At 43.1% G+C, this 23,518-nt stretch overlaps 1 protein-coding gene and 1 non-coding gene across 11 annotated transcripts in view; both read right to left on the bottom strand.

Moving 5' to 3' along the window:
- The window catches only part of CLYBL (citramalyl-CoA lyase), a 302,755-nt gene that overhangs the window by 257,796 nt on the left and 21,441 nt on the right, over positions 1-23,518 (bottom strand). The gene's annotated exons all lie outside the window — the stretch shown is intronic.
- MIR4306 (microRNA 4306) lies at positions 8,500-8,590 on the bottom strand. The gene has a single exon (NR_036191.1). It is a non-coding gene; the product is annotated as a microRNA 4306 (primary transcript).

Raw genomic sequence — 23,518 nt, 5'->3', positions numbered from 1 at the left:
CAACCAAGAATCTTAACTGATGGAAAGCCACAACCCAGAATTCCATTTCACTCAAAAAATATTTATTCAATTCTTTTTTGAGACGGGGTCTCGCTGTGTCACCCAGGCTGGAGTGCAGTGGTGTGATCTTGGCTCACTACAACCTCCGTCTCCTGGGTTCAAGCGATTCTCCCACCTCAGCCTCCCAAGTAGCTGGGATTACAGGCATGCGCCACTACGCCCAGCTAATTTTTGTATTTTTAGCAGAGATGGGGTTTAGCCATGTTGGCCAGTCTAGTCTAGAACTCCTGACGTCAGGCCACTCGCCTTGGCTTCCCCAAGTGCTGGGATTACAGGCGTGAGCCACCTCACCTGGCCTATTTATTCAGTTCTTGTCATGTGCTTGGCACCAAGACAGATGCTGGGCCTGCAATCAGGTACCAGCAGTAGCGCTATGACCTAGGTGGTTGGATCTAACATGGGAGACAGCACAGGGTACAAAGAGCAGAGATCACATTGGGCAAAGCTACTGGAAGGCAGAGGAAGGGTGTCTGCTGGCCCACGGCAGTGTGGGTGACTGCTAAGTCATCAGAAGAGAAGATATTTGGTCAGCAAGATCTCAAGGAAGATGAGAGGAGGGCTCTGTAGGGAGAAGCAGCAGCATGAGCCATGGCAGAGACAGAAAGGAGCTGGAGTATCTCACCACCCTGAGAATTTTAATGTGATTGGAAGGTCAGAGACATGGGGTAGGAAGATGATTCTGGGAAGGTAATCTTGGGTTAGGGTGTAAAGAACACTGTAAGGTCTTCATTCCTCAGTGTTGAGAGTGACTGCTGCTTGTGGAGAGGAGCGCAATGACGTCTGTGTTCAGAAAGCTACTTCTGGAAGATGGACAGGAGAGAGGAGAGTCCCAGAAAAAAAGAGCCACAATGGCTGGGAGCCATGTGGAGATGCACAGAATCCAAGGGTCTAGTGGAGGCAAGAATGACTCCAAGGATTTCAGCTACAGGACGAGGAAAGGTGGTGCTAGAGTCCATGGAGGCAGCCTCCAGCACCCTCCAGCAGCCTCTGTGCTGACCTTACTCTCTAGAAGAGCACATGTACCTGAGCCAAATCAAAACTCAAGTTGCTGCCAGTGAGAATTTGGCAACAGTTTCTGTCACCCTGGGCAAGGAGAGGAAAGTAGATGGGCAACTGAGGTTTCTAACACTCTTCTTATTTCTTCCCCTCTTGAAAACTTCTTTTTTTGAGACAGGGTCTCATTCTGTCACCCAGGCTGGAGTACGGTGGGACAACCATAGTTCACCGTAGCCTTAAACTCCTGGGCTCAAGCAATCCTCCTGCCTTAGCCTTCCCAGTAGCTGGGACTACAGGTGTGCGCCACCATACCACTCTGATTTTTTTTTTGAGACGGAGTCTGGCTCTGTCGCCCAGGCTGGAGTGCAGTGGCGCAATCTCTGCTCACTGCAAGCTCCACCTCCTGGGTTCACGCCATTCTCCTGCCTCAGCCTCCCGAGTAGCTGGGACTATAGGCGCCCGCCACCACGCCCAGCTAATTTTTTGTATTTTTAGTAGAGATGGGGTTTCACCGTGTTAGCCATGATGGTCTCTATCTCCTGACCTCGTGATCCGCCCGCCTCGGCCTCCCAAAGTGCTGGGATTACAGGTGTGAGCCACTGCGCTTGGCCTACCAGTCTGATTTTTAAAAAATTTTTTGTAGGGATGAGGTCTTGCTATATTGCTCAGGCTGAAAACTTTCTTTTTTTTTCATGAAGCATCATATAACTTTTTTTTTTTTCTTTTGAGACAAAGTGTTGCTCTGTTGCCCAGGCTGGAGTGCAGTGGCACATGATCACTGTTTACTGCAGACTCCAACTTCTGGGCTCAAGTGATCCTCCCATCTCAGCCTCCTGAGTAGCTGGGACTACAGGTGCCCACCACTACATGTGGCTAATTTTTGTATCATTTGTAGAGATGGGGTTTCGCTCTGTTGCCCAGGTTGGTCTCATGCTCCCGGCTCAAGCAGTCTGCGTGATTTGGCCTCCCAAAGTGCTGGGATTACAGGCGTGAGCCACAGCGCCTGGTGGACTCATAGAACATTTAACACATAAGTCCTCCATCAATATTCCAAATTTTCCCCACCCTTCAACTTATCGGCAAATAAGTAAGATTTTTCAAAGAAACAATGACATTGCAAAGGTACACCTACTTAACTGTGTAACTGTTTAGCTTTTCTATCTTCATGACATAATTTTTAGAGGTGCTTCTATTCCTCACAGAACTGCACCTGCACCAGTATATGAAAAATGGGTGCCAATTAGTAGTATTTTAGTTAAAACCGTTTCCCCACATCATTGTCTTATGCTAGAAGCGAGCTGGCATGAATAACAAAGGGTTGCTATTAATAGTACAACACAGAATGCAAGCGGAAAACTTGAGTGAAATTATGTTTTTTAAAACCCACTGTTTAGTGCCCAGAAAAGGGACAGACTGTGCAGCATCTGTGCTGGGGGGAGATGGAACTAATAAATCATTGCCATTTTTACTATGCACAGGCAGAATCTGATGTACATCCAAAGCCAAACACATTGGCTGTCCGAGAAAAATGATTTACGTTCCAGGGCTTTTTTTCACTCAATTGAAAGTTTATGCATTTAGCATCCTAGATGATTTTATTAATTTACATCTCCTGTAATTATTAAGTTTTTTAAGAAAATTTTGGGGATGGGTTAAATGTATGAATGAAATATAAAAATATATATATCCTTATGTTCAAACATAAAATATTCATTTCAAAGTCCAACTTGCAGATGTAAAGCCATGTAAAACATAAGACTGAGCTAGAAAAAAATGATACCTTGATGTGTAGATAAAAAAAATACTAGTGACACTAGGTAGCTAACATTCTATTATCAGTTCAAGAAAGGAGTAAGAAAAGTACATTTTCTTATTGAATTAATTTGACCAGAATCAAAGCAAGTGTAGAAAAGACCCTAAACACTGATAACAGTGCAATATCCATCTTCAATAAATAACAAGCTTATGATGATTTCTTATGCTGTTAGCACATCTGGCTGCCCTATCTACTCTGGAACACAGAAATGTAAGAAAAAGGGGCCTTTAAATAGTAACGCAGGCAGCTCCACTAATCAGATTATCATCATAAGGTATTGACAGCAAGAAAAGTCACAAAAAACCAGGGCTAGCAGGAATGCTGTTTCAGAATTCAACGAACAATGGACTATTTATTTCGGCATTCCATAATCATTTTGCTTACACACTCTTGTTAGAAAACTGGTAAAATTCAGAAAAGCAGACCTGGAAGGACTGATGAACATTCGGAGCCTTCTGAATAGTCCATGGCGTTGAGATTTTTGTCCGAGGACTTGAAAAGTTAAAGGCATAGTCCTGCCAATTGTGAGATGCCCTCTCCAACACAGACCACCCACAACTACGGATTTTCCATCTGGTGAACAAAACAGACAGCTCCCTAATTATTTTTAAAAAGGATTTTTCCCCCCCGAACATACTTTCTTTATTTGTCTGTGACCTGGAACTTAATGGAAAACCTGGTGCATGCCAACTTCATTTCTCATAATGAAATATCCTATTTTATTGTTTTAACTGGTTTTAAAGACTTTAAGATAGAAATTATTACCCCCAGAGCCAACACACCAAGCCACCAAGACAATTCCAATGAACTGTTTCCTCTGAACAGAGAATATCTTGTTTAAATATTAGCCACTGAAGTTTTCTCTCACAACCAACAAGATGAAAATAGGAGGGAAATTATTTGCAATCGTTCTCAACTGGGCACCCATACTGCTAGTGTCAAAATCTATGGCTTTTCCAACAAGATGGCCACCTCTGCCAAAAGCATGCTCAGAAATGCCAACTGTAATTAAAATCTGGCACCTGTCTTGGGCACCAAATTTGCTTCTAATATCTCCAGTTGAAATGTGTCTCAGCTTCGAGAGGACTTAAGATGCTTCTTGCCCTCTGCCCTTTGGAAAAACACTCGAGTGGAAAAATTGACGGCTGTTATCCCCAAAATTACATTTTTTACATTTTAACTGTCCTAAATCTTCTCTGCTTTCTTTCTCTGAATCTGTTTGTTTAATTAGTCCCAAGAGAATCAGCATACATTCCCTTCACACATTTTGTTTTTATAAACCTCAAGAAAAATAGGCACTGAAATAAGTTCTTCCCACTATGGAGTTGTGATGGGGGGCGGGGCCGGGGGGGCGTGTGACAGATGTAGATTTTGCAAGGCCTTAGATACTATGGAATTGGGAAGCTCTAGGTGGGGCGGGAGCCTTCCCTAAGAAGGTTTTTCAGAGCCACACGTCTTGATTTGAGGCACATTGCTTTGGACCTCTCTGCTGCCTATGAACAAGCTTGTGTCCTACCTATTGTTTTCTTGAGCTGGGGCTATCAAAATTCTAAGTAGTTTTTTGTTTGTTTTGTTTTTAAAGACTGTAGCATTTCTCAAGAAGAAACTTCTTGTGATCTTTCTTATAAGCCTTTCAAACACTGGCCACCCAGCCCCCCTTAGGTGTGGGCAGAGTGGTCCTCAGGCCCATGAGCACCATGGATGGTGATGCACTGCACAGCTTGGCAGTGACAAGCATTCCCAAAGCATGGGAGGCCAGAGCGTGCGGAGGGCCCAGCAGCAGCCTCTCCAGAGGGGAAGGGGCCCTGCCCACCTCTCTCCCTGCTGTATCCCTGGGCCTAGAAGAGTGTCTGGCACAGAAGGTACTGAGAAGTAGCTATCGCAGGGCTAGCAGGCAGATCTAGGGTATGCTTGCCTTTGTAACGAGCTCCTTATATTAAGATTTCTGTAACCAGCCAGGCGTGGTGGCTCACGCCTGTAGTCCCAGCACTTTGGGAGGCCAAGGTGGGTGGATCACGAGGTCAGGAGTTTAATACCAACCTGGCCAAGATGGTGAAACCCTGTCTCTACTAAAAATACAAAAAAAAAAAAAAAAAATTAGCCAGGTGTGGTAGCGGGCACCTGCAATCCCAGCTATTCAGGAGGCTGAGGCAGAGAATTGCTTGAACCCAAGAGGCAGAGGTTGCAGTGAGCCGAGATCACGCCACTGCACTCCAGCCGGGGTGCCAGAGTGAGACTCCATCTCAAAAAAAAAAAAAAAAAAAAAGATTTCTGTAACCAATTGGCTCCTATAGTCAGAGGAACCTGACCCAGGTGAATTATAAATCATTGTAAATGCAAGATGCCCTTCTCCCTGGTGAGGAGCACAGACATTCACCCTTTGGACACACATCCTCATTAACCCTCCCTTTCAGGAGCTCCATCCTTCAGCAACCCTTCTTCCCCCAGGCCACCCCAAACTCCTATAACACACCACTCCTCATTAGAAATTAAAAGGGGCTAAAGGAGTGCGATGACTGCTTAAGGTACAAGTAGATTTACTACTGAATACAGAAAAAATATAAAAGCAGTGCCTGATTATGACAGGATCCTGCTCAAAATAATTCACCAATAAGTTGCTTCTTTGGAACTGAAAATGAATTTTTCCCCATGGAAAAAATGTCACAAATGATGGTTAGGACCTCAGGATAGCTCACAAAAGCCCACTGAACCCCACAGTGTCCCAGGGTGCCACTATTTTAATAGCATGTTCATGGCAAACAGAATCCTAAGTTTAAATTAGGGAATTTCTCAGCCACAGGAAAGAAGATACCCTGACATTGCTGGTGGCTTATTCATGCCCCACACCCCTTAAAGAAAGCCCTCTCCCTGGATCAGAAATTGCCCTAAGGCCCCAAAAGCACAGGCGACCGAAGCAAAAATAGACAAATGGAATCATGTCAAGTTAAAAAGCTTCTGCACAGCAAAGGAAAACAATCAACAAAGTGAAGAGACAGCCCACAGAATGGGGAAAAATATTTGCAAACCATCCATCTGAGAAAGGATTAATAACCAGGATATATAAGAAGCTCAAACAACTCAATAGGAAAAAAAAAATTTAATAATCTAATTTAAAAACTGGGCAAAAGATCTGAACAGATATTTCTCAGAAGAAGACATACAAATGGCAAACAGGCATATGAAAAGGTGCTCAACATCACTGATCACCACAGAAATGCAAATCAAAACTACGGTAAGATATCACACCCCATTAAAATGACTTTTTTTTTTTTTTTTTTTGAGACAGAGTCTTGCTCTGTCGCCCAGGCTGGAGTGCAGTGGTGCAATCTCAGCTCACTGCAAGCTCTGCCTCCTGTGTTCACACCATTCTCCTGCCTCAGCCTCCCAAGTAGCTGGGACTACAGGCACCCGCCACCACGCCCAGCTAAGTTTTTGTATTTTTTTAGTAGAGACGGGGTTTCACCATGTTGGCCAGGATGGTCTCGATCTCCTGACCTCGTGATCCACCCGCATCAGCCTCCCAAAGTGCTGGGATTACAGGCGTGAGCCACTGCACCCGGCCTAAAATGACTTTTATCTAAAAGATAGGCAATAACAAATGCTAGCGAGGATATGGAAAAAAGGAAACCATCGTACACTGTTAATGGGAATGTAATTTAGTACAACCGCTATGGAGAACAGCATAGAGGTTCCTCAAAAAACTAAAACTAGAACTACCATATGACCCAGCAATCCCAATGCTAGGTATATACCCAAAAGAAAGGAAGGCAGTGTATTGAAGAGATATCTGCACTCCCATGTTTATTGCAGCAGTATTCACAATAGCAAAGATTTGGGAGCAACCTAAGGGGCCATCGGTAGCTAAATGGATCAAGAAATTGTGGTACATATACACAATGAAGTACTATTCAGTCATAAAAGAGAATGAGATCCTGCCATTTGCAACAATATGGATGGAACTGGAGGACATTATGTTAAGTGAAATAAGTCAGGCACAGAAAGACAAACTTCAACTGTTCTCACTCACTTGTGGGAGCTGAAAGTTAAAACAATTGAAATCATGGGGACAGAGACTAGAATATTGGTTATCAGGGGCTGGGAAGGGTAGTGGGGTAGAGGAAGGAAACTGGGGATGGTTAATGAGTACAAAAATCCAGTGAGATAGAAAGAAGTAAGTTCTAGTATTTGATAGTACAACAGGATAACTACAGTCAACAATAATTTATTATATATTTAAAAATAACTACAAGAGTATAACTGGAATGTTTGAAACACAAAGAAATGACAAATGCTTGAGGTCAGAGATACCCTATTTACCTTGATGTGATTATTACACATTGTATACCTATATCAAAACATTTCATGTACCCCATAAATATATACACTATGTACCTATTAAAATTTTTAAAATAAATAGTCTTAAGGTAACAGTTTTCAAATTTTTTTTTACTGCAACCCACAGGAAGAAGTGTATTTATAGTGAGAGCTTGCACATGCATACATACACCATATATACATACATACACCACATATACATACATACACCACATATACATACACCACATATACACATACACCACATATACATACATACACATGTACATACATACACCACATATACATACATACACCACATATACATACATACACCACATATACATACATACACCACATATAAAAAACCAAAAGTTTCATAAGACAAAATGTGTGATGGGCTCAGAATTGAATATTTCCTATTATGTTACAGTTCTTTTTTTTTTTTTTTTTTTTTTGAGACAGAGTCTTGTTCTGTCGCCCAGGCTGGAGTGCAATGGCGCAGTCTGGATTCACTGCAACCTCCGCCTCCTGGGTTCAAGCGATTCTCCTGCCTCAGCCTCCCGAAAAGTTGGGATTACAGGCGCCGCCACCACTCCCAGTTAATTTTTGTATTTTTAGTGGAGACGGGGTTTCACCATGTTGGTCAGGCTGGTCTGCAACTCCTGACCTCATGCTCCACCTGCCTCAGCCTCCCAAAGTGCTGGGATTACAGGCGTGAGCCACTGCGCCGGGCCTATGGTTCATTTTTTAAAACGCTCATTGTGACCTAATAAATTAACTTCCCAGATGACTCATGGGTTTGGACCCACAACATAAAACACCACTGCCCCAAACAATCTGAACCGAGGCGCACAGAATAGTAAGTGGTAGCTACTGACATTGAGTCTCACAACTTCCTCCACTGGACATTGAAATTATAATTATAAACAGAAATATAAAATTGAGACAATTTCTTGAAAATGTTTCAGAAATGCATATGCCCCTTGGTTTCAGGCTTCTACCTGTTTTAGCTCTTCTTTTTCTAACTGGTTGAAAATGCAGGTATTGGCAGAAAACCTGAGGATAATTACAGACCCTAGATGACAAAGACAGAGATGGCAAATCATGCTGATGAAAAGCCTGAAGATCTGTAAATCAGAAAAACAAAATTCCTGGTTATTCAGAATATACAGACATCATTCCAATCAAAACTTGGCCTTTGGCACCGGAGCAGTGAGGCAAACTGGCTGGTCATGAGAACAGGCATTACTTCTGGCCACTCCAGAGGCAGGTGGAAGCAGAGCGTCCAAGCCTTCAAGCCCCTTGGTCTTGGTACAGACCTACTGCCTTTCTCTCCAGAGGACAGTCAAAAGATTCTGGGTTAGGGATGCCTCTGGAGACTCTAAGGACACTAAGCAGCTTAAAAGGGCTTCTATGAGCCCATGAGTAAAGTCCTCATGCAGGCCTCACCCAGCAAGCAGTTGAGCTCAGTGTATTAGAAATGAGAGCAGCCTGCGCAACATAGTAAGACCTTGGCTCTACAAAAAATAAAAAATTAGCCAGGCGTGGTGGTGTATGCCTGTAGCTGTAGCTAGTTGGGAGGCTGAGGTGGGAGGATGGTTTGAGCCTGGGAGGTTAAGGCTGCAGTGAGCCAAGATTGCACTACTGCACTCCAGCCTGAGCAACAGGAAAAAAAAGGAAAGAAAATAAAAGAGCAACGGAGGAAGGGAGGGAGGGAGGGAAGCAGGCAGGCAGGAAGGAGAGGCTGGGCATGGTGGCTCATGCCTGTAACCCCAGCACTTGGGAAGAATGAGGCAGAAGGATCACCTGAACCCAGGAGTTTGAGACCAGCCTGGACAACATGGGGAGACCTCATCTCTACAAAAATAAATTAAAAAATGAGCCAGGCCAGGTGGCACACACCTGAAGTCTTAGCTACTCGGGAAGCTGAGGTGGGAGGATTGCTTGAGCCTGGGAGCTGTGACCTGCAGTGAGCTGTGATCGTGCCACTGCACTCCAGCCTGGGCAACAGGGCAAGATCCTGTCTCAATAATAATAATAATAATAACAATAATCATAAAAAATAGAAATGAGCCAATACTCTGATTTTCACCCCAAGATGGATTCAAGCAACATTCCCAAGACCACCGCCAGCCCTCCTACAACCAGCTTTGGCTGATGGTGACTGAATATGCTCGGTGCCCAGGGTCACCCTCACTAGAGGCACGCCTCAGCCAGAGCACAGCACTGAAGAGTCAGCATGCACAGGGCTGAGGCCACCGCCCCCTGCAATGAGAATGGGCTCCCCAGCCAAATCTACCCACAGCTGGGGTCATAAGATGAGAATCCTTCCCAGCAATCCCTCAGATTCCTCTTTCCTTGTGTCTGAGAGCCTGGTACCCTCACAAGTGTTCTTCCCCAGGGTGTCTGTCCTCCTTGAGACATGTCCTATGGGTTTTCATCCCCATATGTGTTTTCTGCATTGTCATATTTTAAATCCCATTCAAGAGACTGCAGAACATTATTTCCAAATTTAATTTCATATGGTTTGAATGACATTTCCAAAAGGAAAATGCACCAATCTCAGAAATGTTTTACTCCACTGATTCATTCTTAACTTTCCATTTCTGTACCTTCTTTCCTTCTTGTGTTGGACTATTTTTTTTTTAAAGATGGAGTCTCGCTCTGTCACCCAGGCTGGAGTGCAGTGGTGCGATCTCAGCTCACTGCAAGCTCCACCTCCCGGGTTCACGCCATTCTCCTGCCTCAGCCTCCCAAGTAGCTGGGACTACAGGTGCACGCTGCCATGCCTGGCTAATTTTTTTTTTTTTTGTATTTTTAGTAGAGATGGGGTTTCACCGTGCTAGCCAGGATGGTCTTGATCTCCTGACCTCATGATCCGCCCACCTTGGCTTCCCAAAAGTGCTGAGATTACAGGTGCCTGCCACCGTGCCCGGCTAATTTTCTGTACTTCTAGTAGAGACGGGGTTTCACTGTGTTAGCCAGGATGGTCTTGATCTCCTGACCTCGTGATCCACCCACCTCGGCCTCCCAAAGTGCTGGGATTACAGGCGTGAGCCACTGCACCTGGCCGTGTTGTACTATTTTTAAGAAATAAAGTGATTTTTTTGGTATAATAAATAATGGGAAGATGCACAATGTCAATACCAAACTTAAATAGCTTTGATTCATTTGGGTTCCCACCTTCATCCACTTATAATTCATTTTAACCTATAGGTTATAAATGATTAATTACTCATATTTTAAAATCATCAAAAAACTTATATCATTGAGGTTGTATCAACTACAAACAATGTATGACTGTAGGCTTGCACTGGTGATCTGAGAAAAGGCTCCCAGCAGGACTGAAGGCAAGAATATTCAGAGAACGCTCAATAGAAAACTGTTACATACTTTTCAAATTTTCATTTGGTGATATGATTCATAAAACCAACTAATGAGAATTCTATATTAGAAAAACAATATATGTAAACCAAAGTAAAACTAGCTACTAATTTTTTTGTTAAGTCCTCCCATAAAGGGAATGTTTTCCAGAAATGTGTTAGCAGGAGTAGCTTGGATCTGCACTGTCCACCATATATTCGTATATATCCACGTGTGCATTTAGGTGCCTAGGTCTATATCTGGGTACATGCATACAAATTTCCTGAGCAGTCAAAATCCTATTGGTCGTAAGACAAAAGAGCAGGGGCACTGCCCATGAAGTTATCAGATCCAGGCCTTCAGTTTCTAATTGAACACTTCAGGGCTACTTTTATCATGTGTCAACTTGAAACCCACACTCAATTTTTCCTTTTAAACCATGTTGCGTCTGTAATACAGCAATGTTTTGGATATACTGTGGCAAGCTCTGCTAGGAATACTCCTTTAGAAGCAGAGCTTAACCAACGCTGAAAAGGAGGGAAGCCTGCTAAATGTTTTCACAGCTGTCAACTACTCAAAAGAACACTACAGGGAAAAACCACATTCTCACACTTTAACTATTTTCCACTAGCCTTAGCAATAAGGCAAACTATTTAAAACTAGTAAATATAGATTTAAATAAAACACAAAAGGATATCTGATACAACAATAAACACCCTCAGCCTAACATTAGTGAACCTAGTGAAACATTAAAGATAATATTTTACGACAATGAACATAAAAAACCATAGTGAAATGTACTTAGCTCCAAGATAAATGATTTTTTAAAACCCATAATATGATGAGCAAATATATTAAATCTTAAGTATGCAATTGTCCAATCTATTCAATTGGCTTTGTGTGAAAAAAGAAACAATTATTTTGAGTTAGACAGGTACTTTGGGCATTAGTTTTCATGATTAAAAAACAAAAAATGAACAAATTCAAGTTACTTTTATAGTATCAAGAGAGATTAAAGTCAGATTATTCTGTTTAATTAAAGTCTAAACTACATAGAGAATAGAAATGTTCAACTATGTATATGACAATCACATGCCTGGAATTTTCCTGCATAATTTCACTTTTGAATATTTTATCCCATTATCTATTTCCTAAATATATTCAAATCATGTACTCAGGCTATGCATACAATTTTTCTTTAAGATAATGTCTTGCTATGTTGCCCAGGCTAGAGTGCACTGGTACAATCATGGCTCACTGCAGCCTTGAACTCCTGGGCTCAAGTGGTTGTCCTGCCTCAGCCTCCTCAGTAGCTGGGACTACAGACACATGCCACCATGCCCAGCTAAGTTTTTAACTTTTCTTTTGTATAGATATGGTCTCGCTGCGTTGGCCAGGCTGGTTTCAAACTCCTGGCCTCAAGCAATCCTCCTACCTCGGTCTCCCAAAGTGCTGGTATTACAGGTAAGAGTCACCACATCCAGCCCAAATTTGTAGTTCTAAAAATAGAGTTGCCTCTGTAGGCAAAAGGGATGAGTTTTATGTTTATCTTAATTATTGTTTTTGTCTTCTGTTACATATAAATGCATTTACATGACTGCTAAACCATCGGAGCACTCCTTTAAAAATGACTCTAAATGCTTATGTCCTTGGATTGGAATTGGCCAAGGATTTATTGTTATGGTTACCAACAATGCATAATTAAAGCATAGTAGAGTTATTTTAGCTTGCTTAGAGGTTTATATTCCAAAGAGTAATGGAATCTACAAATAACAATACACACATTGTGTGGGCATTAATGACCATGCTGCGTGTCCACAGAGTGACCACAAGCCCCGGCTTGCCTGGACGTCCTGGCTGGCTCCTGATGCCCCAGCATCTATAACAGTACTCCTTTCACTCTCAAAAATATCCAGATTAGGATGATAAATTCTAACCTGGATATTTCATCTATATGAAGATTCACAGATTGCCGGTTTTCCAATGGCCTTTATTGTTACATCATCAGGGTCTTCAAGCAGATGATTTTTTTCAAAATGCAGTTGACTCAGACCTAAAATTCAGCCTCAAGTGAAAAAGCATACATAAGAGACAAGGCGGGCATGGCCTTGTCGAAAGAGCCCCAGCTTTGGAACAGAACCTGTGGTTGCGATCCCAGCTCAGCCCCTTAGTTTGGTACTGGGGAAGTTCTATCCCCCTTCTGCTCCTTGGCTCTCTGACCCAGTGATGGGAAGGTTAACTGATGGATTGGCAACCTGTGTGCCAGCTCATGGGGACCTAAGAGTCATACTACCCAGGTTCAAATCCTAATTCTATCAATGCTAAGTTACCTCAGGCAAGTAACTTAACCTTTCTGTGTTTCGGTTTCCTCCTTGGAAAAATGGTAACAATAAATAAAACTTATCTCACACAGTTGTTGAGAGTGCTACATGAAATAATGTTGAAAATGTTAGCACAGTGCCCAGAGCATAGTAAGCTCTCAAAAAATGTACACAGGTATGTGGCTACAGATTTTATTCTTGCTTAATATTTCTTTGTGGGACTGTTGGGCAGATACTGTTCTGATCACTGCGAAATCCCGCATGTCTAGCACAGAGTCTGAAACACAATAGGTAGTTAATAAATATTTGTTCAGATGATGTTGTAAAATGCATAAGGCACACATATATTGTGTGTGTGTATGTCTATGTAATATTTTACACAAATAAATAACTTTCAATAATTTGGAGTAAGAAAAGAGAAGCCCATCTGAATTAGTAAAAAGAAATGCAAAGAGAATTACTTGTCAACCACAGAAAGCAAGTAGAAGGTTAACAGGTGTAGTTTAATAGCATCATTAAGCTGGGCACAGTGGCTCATTCCTGTAATCCCAGCACTTCAGAAGGCTGAGGCAGGGGGACCATTTGAGCCCAGGCATTTGAGACCAGCCAGGGCAACATGGGGAGACATCTCTACAAAAAATTAAAAAATAAAAATTAGCCAGGTGTAGCTGGTGGTCTTAGCTACTCAGGAGGCTAAGGTAGGAGACTCACTGGAGTCTGGGTGGTCGAGAATGCAGTGAACCGCGATTGTGCCATTGCACTCCAGCCTAGGCGACAGAGCAAGACCTTGTCTCAAAAAAAAAAAAAAAAAAAGGCACTGTTGACTTGGATAACTAGATAAGAATGATCCGTAACTGGCTTCTTTGTATGCAAATTAATGCATCTGCTATGTTTAAAAATTCTCCTTGAAAGCTTTTCAGAAATATGAATGGATGTATGTATACGGATACACACAGACATCATTCATAAATATATATTCACACTTTGTAGGAATTTTATGGTTTTATTATTATTATTTGAGATGAAGTCACACTCTGTAGCCCAGGCTGGAATGCAGTGGCGCGATCTCAGCTCACCGCAACCTCCACCTCCTGGGTTCAAGCAATTCTCCTCCCTCAGCCTCCCAAGTAGCTGGGATTACAGGTGCGTGCCACAGCACCTGGCCTTTTTTATTTTTAGTAAAGACAGGGTTTCACCATGTTGCCCAGGCTGCTCTTGAACTCCTGACCTCAGGTGATCCACCCGCCTCGGCCTCCCAAAGTGTTAGGATTACAGGCGTGAGCCACCGTGCCCGGCTATGGTTTTAAAAATTACATTCTGTGGCAACTTTTTTCTTCTTTACCACATTTCACTGGCAAGACAGGGAATATGCAATATGCTGGAAAGACTGGATTTGACAGAAATGGCTTAGGGCAGTGATAACACTGATTGATACACCTCCAGAGATGGGTTTTCATGGAGAATTTTCAACACAGGGAGAGGAGGGGCTTAATAATTGGGAATTCTTCCACTCAACCTTAGCACTTTCATCTTTGGGTGAGCACAATGGCAAACTGGGTAGCCTCTATTACCCTGGCACTTACAAAGATAAAGTTTAAATTAGGTTGGACACAGTGGCTCATGCCTGTAACCCCAGCACTTTGGGAGGCGGGCAGATCACTTGAGACCAGGGGTTCAAGACCAGCCTGGCCAACATGGCGAAATCCCGTCTCTACTAAAAATAAAAAAATTAGCCAGGCATGGTTGCACATGACTGTAGTCCCAGCTACTCAGGAAGCTGAGAAATGAGAATTGCTTGAGCCTGGCTGGGGGATGCAGTGATGCAGTGAGCCAAGACTGCACCACTGCACTCCGACCTGGGCGAGAGAGTAAGTCTAAAAAAAAAAGTTTAAATTAGACCGCAACCACACTCAGGACCTGTCTTGCTAATACTCCATCTTGCCACTGTGACTATAATGGAGTGAAGGCATGGAGAGAATCCAGAACCACTAATTTTTCCTACTTACCCCTCGTAGAACCATCATTTTATCTGTACCCTACCCAAGAAAAGAAGATCCAAGGCATACTGTGCACAACAAAGTTAATAATATCTGCTACTACACATGAAATGTCTTACTTTAAACCTTGCCTCTTAAAATCAGAGATCTCTCTCTAAAAGGAGGGGGCCAGGAATGTAGTGGCTGATACTCAAACAGCCCTGGCAAGAGGAATGGCTCAACAGTGGGGAGCAGGTGTCCCAGCTGCCAGGGAGCAGATCCCACTGTCCAAGCAGAGTTGGCCACGTGAACCTGTGCAGAAGGCACTGGAGGCCCTGCCCAGCCCAGATGTGCTGGCACTGCATCAGCTGAAGACAGGCTCACCAGGTCCCACCTCTGTTTTCAAGCATCAGGAGCTAACAGGTGACCTTTCTATATTGACCACTCAATATTTTCTTACCAGGACTTTAAGACCTTGGTAAACATTAATAATTCTATTTATGCATACATTTAATGATCTGCAGCAAGGGTGAGCAATGAAGGTTCACATAACTGCGGTAAAGTGTTTGTAAAGGTGCAGGTGGCATTTTGCTTGGGGAGATAAAATTGTTATTTCGAAAACATAATTTTAAGAGTCTCTGCTGAAAATATATATAAAGCTTTGAATTTCACATTACGTGAAATTCCACAATTAAAGTTAATATAATCACTCTTTTAACTTAGCAAATGTACTCTGTTAAAATTCAAACTCATTAAAAGTTGAATTCTACAAACATTAAGCACTGCTGGTCTCAAAGAATGTATAGTCTAATGGGAGAGAAAAACATTTAATCAAGTAAATGTTTAATCAACACAATGTTTAAAAAAGTGTTGTAAGAATAAAGCTATAATAGGAACCACACCAAGCACTTTATATATATTATCTTTAGTCCATCTGTCTCAGCAAAGTAAGCAGTAGTATTGTCACCATAAAGATGAGGAAACTGAGACTGGGGAGATTAAACAACTTGCCTGAGCTCATACAGCCAGTAAATGGAAAGACCAGAATTGAGACCAAATCTGTCCAACTCCAAACCCTGTCCTCTTCCCCCAGTCTTCATGGTCTCTCCAAGAGTAGGACAGAGCATTAACAAGAGTTATGGGAGGCCGGGACAGGACCACTCAGTTCAGCATGCTAGGGAATAGGTAAGGCTTCTAGGACATAGGACACAGCATCTCTGGAGGTGAGAATGATTTGCTATGTGAAGACAAGGAAGGAACACAGGAAAAAGCAATAAGCTGCGCAAAGCCAGGAGGGCTGAACATGTGGAAGGGGAGGCTGAATGGCCAGACCTGACCTCACTGGGAGATGAGGGTGGACCCTCACATGTGGAAAACAAGGTTGGACCTGGGTAGGGGCCAGGCTAGGAAGGCCTGGGCTAAAGACAGGACCTCACTCTGCAAACACTGGAGAAGTCTCAATTTGATCCTGGAAAAGGTTGGGGGTGTGGGGGGCGTGGTGCAGATTATAAAAATCATGACAGAGAAAGGCGGCAGATTTGAGAAGGATTTGGGTCAATTGACCTTGTTAATGACCCCCAGGTACATTTCATTACGAAGACCTAATGAAACGTACCTGGGGTCATTAACAAGGTGAGTTAAAAGGCGGACTCTCAGGCTGCTGGCTTGGGTGACAGAGCACACGATGGTGTCCTGATCACCCGAGATGGGAACCCAGGAGCAGAACCAGCCCTGGCACCCTCTGCAGCTGCCTGCCTTGGAGTAAGATTAAGCCAGACAGTGTGTGGGAACAGGAGTGTTCAGGAGGCCATTTTAGAGCAAGATGTGCCTTCCTGGAGCTGCCGCTCCGGGAATGAGCAGGGACGTCTGGGGATGGGGAAGAAGACCTAGCAATGGAAAGAAGGTGCCCAAGGCCAGAGAGCGCGATCTGATACCTCCTTCACAGCCTTTGTCACGTGACACAGTGTCCTGCTAACAGAGTAGGAAAGAAACCCAATCCTGACTCCCAGTCTACAATGTCTCGATTTCTGTCATATTCCTTACAAGGGAGAAACAGAACATTATTTTCTCATCTTGTATCAAGTATCTCTATTTTTCCTAGCTATTTCATGACATTTAAAAATTTATTTAAAAAAATAAGTAATACATCCACATTAAAAAATATTCAAATGATCAAAAGAAGCACAAAATAATAATTTAGTCTCCTTTTTCATACTCCAAGCTCTCAATCTCTTCCCCTTTTCCACGGGGAAGGTTATCACTGTTAAAGTTTTCTTGCGTGTCCTTCCTGAAATAATTGCTATATAAATATTTATTATTATTACTATTACATGTTTACATCAACACAGATGGATCTATCTGATTATTTTCTTCATCATTTCTGGTTCATTTCTTTTTATAGATCCAAGTTATCATCTGGGGTTATTTCCCTTAAGCCTAAAGAAATTCCTTTAGCATTTCTCATAGTCAGATTCTTTGCAACAAATTCTCTCAGTTTTTGTTTAATTATAAAGGTCTTTATTTGGGCTTCAATTTTGAAGGATAGTTTTGCTGGACGTAGAACCCTGGGTTGATATTTTGTCTTTCAATACGTTTACCTTCTACTCTCCACTGTTTCTGATAAGCAGTCGGCTGTTAGTTATATTATTGTTCCTTCTGTGCACCTTCTTTTTTTCTCAGGCAGCTTTCAGGACTTTCTTATTTTTGGATTTCAGCAATGTGGCTCTCATGTGCATGTGTGTGTTTTAATTTATCTTGCTGAGTGTTTGTTAAGGGATCAGTGAGTTAATGGATTTCACCGAATTTGGAACATTTCTGGTCATTATCCCCTCAAATATTTTTTCTGCCCTAATCTCTTTTTTGCTTCTGGAACTCCAACTATACATGTTAGACTGCTTGGTACTGTCCCACAGGTCTCTGAGGCTCTATTTGCTTTTCTTCAATCTTTTTCTTTTCCTCAAACTGAGTACATACGATTGATCTATTTTTCAGTTAACTTTGTCTGCTATTGAGCTTACTGGTAAAAATTTCTATTTAGTTCATGTATTTTCACCTCTCTTTTCATAAAATTCACAATTTTCACCATTTTAAAGTTTAAAATTCACAGTGCTGTACAAGCCTCACCACTAGCTCAAGAACACTTTCATCAACACAAAAGGAAACCCCATATGCATTAAACAATCACTTCCCATTCCCTCCTCCCCTCAACCTCTGGCAACCACTAACCTTTCAGCTCTTTTTCATAGCTATTTTTTTTTTTTTTTTTGAGACAGAGTCCTGCACTGTCACCCAGGCTGGAGTACAGTGGTGCCATCTTGGCTCACTGCAACCTCCACCTCCCAGGCTCAAGCGATTTTTGTGCCTCAGCCTCCCAAGTAGCTGGGATTACAGATGCGTGCCACCATGCCCAGTTTTGTATTTTTAGTAGAGACGGGGTTTTGCCATGTTGCCCAGGCTGGTATCAAACTCCTGACCTCAAGTGATCCGCCCACTTCTGCCTCTCAAAGTGCTGGGATTACAGGCATTAGCTACCACACCTGGCCTTATTTCTTTTCTTCTCTTCTCTTTTTTTTTTTTTTTTTTTTTTTTTGAGACAGGATCTTGCTCTGTTGCCCAGGCTGGAGTGCACTGGTATGATCTCGGCTCACTGCAACCTCTGCCTCCCACGTTCAAGAGATTCTCCTGTCTCAGTCTCCCACACCTGGCTAATTTTTGTATTTTTAGTTAGAGACAGGGTTTTGCCATGTTGGCCAGTCTGGTCATGAATTCCTGGCCTCAAGTGATCCACCCACCTGGGCCCCCAAAGTGTTGGGATTACAGGTGTGAGACACTGCACCTGGCCCATAGCTACTATTTCTAAGCTGATACTCCCTATCTGTTCATTCATTGTGTATACATTTTTATTAAGTCTTTGAATGTATTTATGGTAGATGCTTTAAAGTCCTTGTCTATTAATTGTAACATCTCTATCATCTTGAGTTTGGCTTCTATTATCTACTTTTTTCCCATTTCTACCTCTATCTAGTGGGGTTTTTTTGTTTTTGTTTTGTTTTTTTTGAGACGGAGTCTCACTCTGTCACCAGGCTGGAGTGCAGTGGCACAATCTCGGCTCACTGCAACCTCCGCCTCCCAGGTTCAAGGGATTCTCTTGCCTCAGCCTCTTGAATAGCTGGGACTACAGGTGCCCACCAGCACACCTGGCTAATTTTTTTTGTATATTTAGTAGAGATGGGGTTTCACTATGTTGGCCAGGCTGGTCTCAAACTTCTGACCTCAGGCAATCCGTCTGCCTTGGTCTCCCAAAGTGCTGGGATTACAGGCATGAGCCACAATGCCCGGCCTCTAGTGGTTTCTGATAGGACACTGGACATGATGATCGATATGTTATAGAGATTCCAGATTCTGCACATTTCTCTGAAGACTAATTTTTGTTCTAGCAGACAGCTAACTTGGCTGAACACAAATACCAAGTTCTGTCTTCCCTATGGTAGGCAGTGGCCAAGATCTTTGCTTAGTTTTTTTCAGGCTTAAAGCTGCTACTTTTTCACCAGGTTTGCAGACACATAGTTTAGTAGCCAACCAAGGATTTGTGCAATTTCATATGCAGATTTGGGTGTTTGTGCCCTCTGTAGCTCCCTCCTCTCTGGGGTTTCCCTCTTAATTTTCTGACTGCTCTGCCAGCTCTGCCAGTTTCTACCTCTGCCCTCTAACATCGCAATACAGTAAGGCTGCGGCTTTTGGCCACTTAATTAGCTTTGGGAGTACCTTCAGGTTAAAGCTACAAACCTGCAAACCTTATCCACCGCAGTTTGTCTTTTGAGGTAGATTCTCCTCCAGTTTCTGCCTGATTTTGCTTGCTTTCTGGTGACTTACAATAGTTTTTAAAAATACTTTGTGTGTGGCCAGGTGCGGTGGCTCACGCCTGTAATCCCAGCACTTTGGGAGGCTGAGGCGGGTGGATCACGAGGTCAAGAGATCGAGATCATCCTGGCTGGTCAACATGGTGAAACCCCGTCTCTACTAAAAATACAAAAATTAGCTGGGCGTGGTGGTGCGTGCCTGTAGTCTCAGCTACTCAGGAGGCTGAGGCAGAAGAATCGCTTGAACCCGGGAGGTGGAGGTTGCAGTGAGCCGAGATCACGCCACTGCACTCCAGCCTGGGCGACTGAGCGAGACTCCAACTCAAAAAAAAAAAATTTGGTGTGAATCTTACAAATCTACATAAAATACAGGGGGATTAGTACAATCAAGCTATTCTACCATTTATGGGAACTACCTTATTCTTTTTAACAGCTACGTCATTACTATGGTATGACTATCCCTGTATTTAATGAATCTTCAATTTATGGGCATTTGATTATATATACACACACATATATGTATGTAATATATGTATATATTATATATTTGCATATAAATTATATATGTGTATACATACACACACACACACACACACACACACACACACATAAATATTTGGAGACAGGGTCTGGCTCTGCCACCCAGGCTGGAGTGCAGTGGCACTATCTCAGGTCACTGCAACTTCTGCCTCCCAGGCTCAAGCAATCCTCCCACCTCAACCTCTGGAGTAGCTGGCACTACAGGCATGCGCCACCATGCGTGGCTAATTTTTCTATTTTTTGTGGAGACGGGATTTCACCATGTTGCCCAGGCTGGTCTCGAACTCCTGAGCTCAAGTAACCCACCTGCCTCTGCCTCCCAAAGTGCTGGGATTACAGGCATGAGCCACCACACCTGGACTTATTTTTATTAATATCTTTTTGGTAACGGTAAAAGAATCCTCCTTTCCAAAGGTATCCACAGTAGGTGGCTAAAGTGTAGTGGTTCAGCAAACATGCTTCAGAAACAGGGGTCTGGCTCCTGCTCCATCCCTTAGTAGGCATGTAAATTTGGATAAATTACTTAACTTCCCTGAATCTCACTTGCTTCATCTGTAAAATAGGCAAAAGAATATTTCCTCATGATAATATGAATGTATAAAAGTACAGTGCTTGGCATATAGAAAGAGCTCGGGAGACTGTAGTCTTCTCCAAGAATAAGAACAGGATTTAAGAGAGGGCAGAGCTGGGGTTAAGATCAACAATACAGGGCAAATGGGAACAAGAGGGCTCAGCTGGAATGGGAGGTCACAGGGGAAAGGTGAAAGAACAAAAAGAAGAAAGAAAAAAGAGAGGCCAAAAATAATATGTCTTTATACTAGGTAAGATTTCATCAAACGCTTTTCTTATTCAGAACTACTTTAGTCAAAACTTGTGAAATAGGCAAAGTTCATCCTTGCCAGCACTCCCCTGCCCCCAACTTCTCCACTTTTAGCACGTCTCTGAACCCTCTGGTGCCTGTGTTATAAATAGTCATGTTTTTCAGGGACTGTACTGACCAGCAGCCCTACTAAAGAGCCTTCTCCAACTCCAGGAACACCACTTCTCACAAAGATATTATTTGCATGATGAGTGACTCCAGAATAAACAGAAAAGAGGATTTTTTTTAAAAGGAATGGATTTGAAAGAGGCATTTGACAATTTATCAGGATGATACCTCTCTGAAAAAAGCATTGCTTAAGGGGCTTACATGACAGTTAAACAAGAAATGCTCCAAGCTGCTTCTGAAACAGAAGATGGGGCTTTGTATCCAGTATCGAATGTGCTTCTGCTAGATGAGAAAAATCCACTTCCAGCTTAGGCCCCCATCCTCCCAGGGGTGCAAGGCTACCTAGGCAGAGAAGCCACATCCAACTAACTTCGGGCACTTCTCAGATATGGTGGGGCAGGGGTGAGCAGAGCCTCTTCGACAACACAACTGAAGGCCCTGTACCTGGTGACTGAACAGGTCCATTAGCAGAGGTCACCCTCAAACCAGTAAATACCATCTCCAAGGAGAGGCGCTAGAACACTGTGAGATCCTCACAAGAGGGTAAGCACAACATCTCCTCTGTAAAGAAAGAAGACTCGACAAGTGGGCTTTAAAAAGGAACCCTGAGCAATAGGAGCCCAGGGACCAGAGCGTGCAGTGGTTTCACCCAGACAACATGATCTCCTGGGCTGGGGCCACCTCTCTCCAGCCCAATCCCATCTGTGTCCACTTTAAAGAAACAGTCTTTGAGATGAAGGACAGAAATATTAAAGGCCTACCCTTCCCTCTGTGGGAAGCCTCTCAAGCTGCCCATGAGAATCAGAATAAATGCTTCCTAGTGGCCAAAGAGACAAGCAGTGAAGTCCACAGTACAGAGAAGGAGCTGCAGATGGAATCAGCATCTCTCGATACCATATGACCCAGGAGCAGGAGGACCACCCAACCCCACAGCAGGGAGAGCGCTGCCCAGATAGGGGAGGGGATGAGGGCCAACCAGGGGCAATCAGGTAACCTGTCTAAAACCTGGAGGAGGGGGAAGGCGGATAGATGGGGACTTGGAGCACTGAGATTTCAACAGACGCATTTGTACTTGTCAGGAGGCAATGTCTACAGAATGGGTTCTTGAATTCTTCTCTAATCATCTGGTTTTCTTCATGGTTTCAGATAAAGAACCACTCTTAGGATGGTGAACAGAAACACTGAAGCTGGGATAGCCCCCTGTCAGGGCCATTTGTCATTTCCACAGGCCAAGAACCTGGACGCTGTCCCCACATTGGGGAACCCTCCAATGCATAAGCCAAATGGGAACTGGAAACACTTCCTTGTTCCCCCAACCCCAGGGCTCTCTCTGCCTGTCACACACGCCTGCCCCAGCAGTGGAATTCAGAGTCCGCGAACGAAGCAGCAGGAACTGGGCGGCAGTCGCTGTTTCAAGGTGAAAACACCCTACATTAGCTGCGACACTTACCATAGTCAATTTTTTTTCAACTAACACAAACATTTACAATTTTATTCTTACACTTGTAGCAAGGGCCCCTCCCTTTCTCTCCCCACTCCCATCCACAAAGGCAGAAACAGAAAATAACAATATCACAATAACCAGGAGGAAATAACTGGCCATTGTACCTGCCTTTTATAGACAGATGTTTCTTGGGATTTGCCCACAACACTTAAAGGCCCATTTGTGATTCTGATAACCTAAGACTTTAAACTCTATTACACACTGATTGCTGCCCAGAGCCTCAGGCTCCAGTTTACAAGCCTGTTCTGCCTTCCTGCAGGCTCTCTATGCTTATAAATGACACCTTCCAGTGTCTTAAAGTATGAAAGGCAGCTAGTCCTGAATTCCCAGGCTGCTAATGGTTTCACATAAAATGAGCTCCTACAATTTTATTACCACCCTGGTGCAACTTCACAGGTGAGGAGCCACCAGGGAAAGGATGAGGCCATGTCTCTCACTCCTGGCCTTCTGACTTTTCCAAGCACAAGGAACTTTTCCACTCAATATTGCAAATGACTGCTCCAACTCCCAAGGCTGCTGATTAATCCAAACAAGGTCTACTATATCACTTAAAGAAACCGAGAGTAAGTCATCAAGTCGTCTCTCTGGAGAGAGGGATGTTGTGAATTCACTTCCTAAATTCACAGCTGTAAAGCTGATTAGGCCACTGATCCTCTCTATTTTTACTTAAATATATATATTTAATGGGTATCAGTTCACTTTGCATGTTGGGAAATAACTAGTGGAAAATATTAAATTTCACATTCCAATCAGATATGCCAGACACGAGTTTTGTCTA

The sequence above is a fragment of the Homo sapiens genome, chromosome 13 (assembly GCF_000001405.40).
Source record: "Homo sapiens chromosome 13, GRCh38.p14 Primary Assembly".
Taxonomy (NCBI): Eukaryota; Metazoa; Chordata; class Mammalia; order Primates; family Hominidae; genus Homo; species Homo sapiens.
Note: the sequence above shows the minus strand (reverse complement) of the source record. Positions and strands in the feature narration are given on the sequence as shown.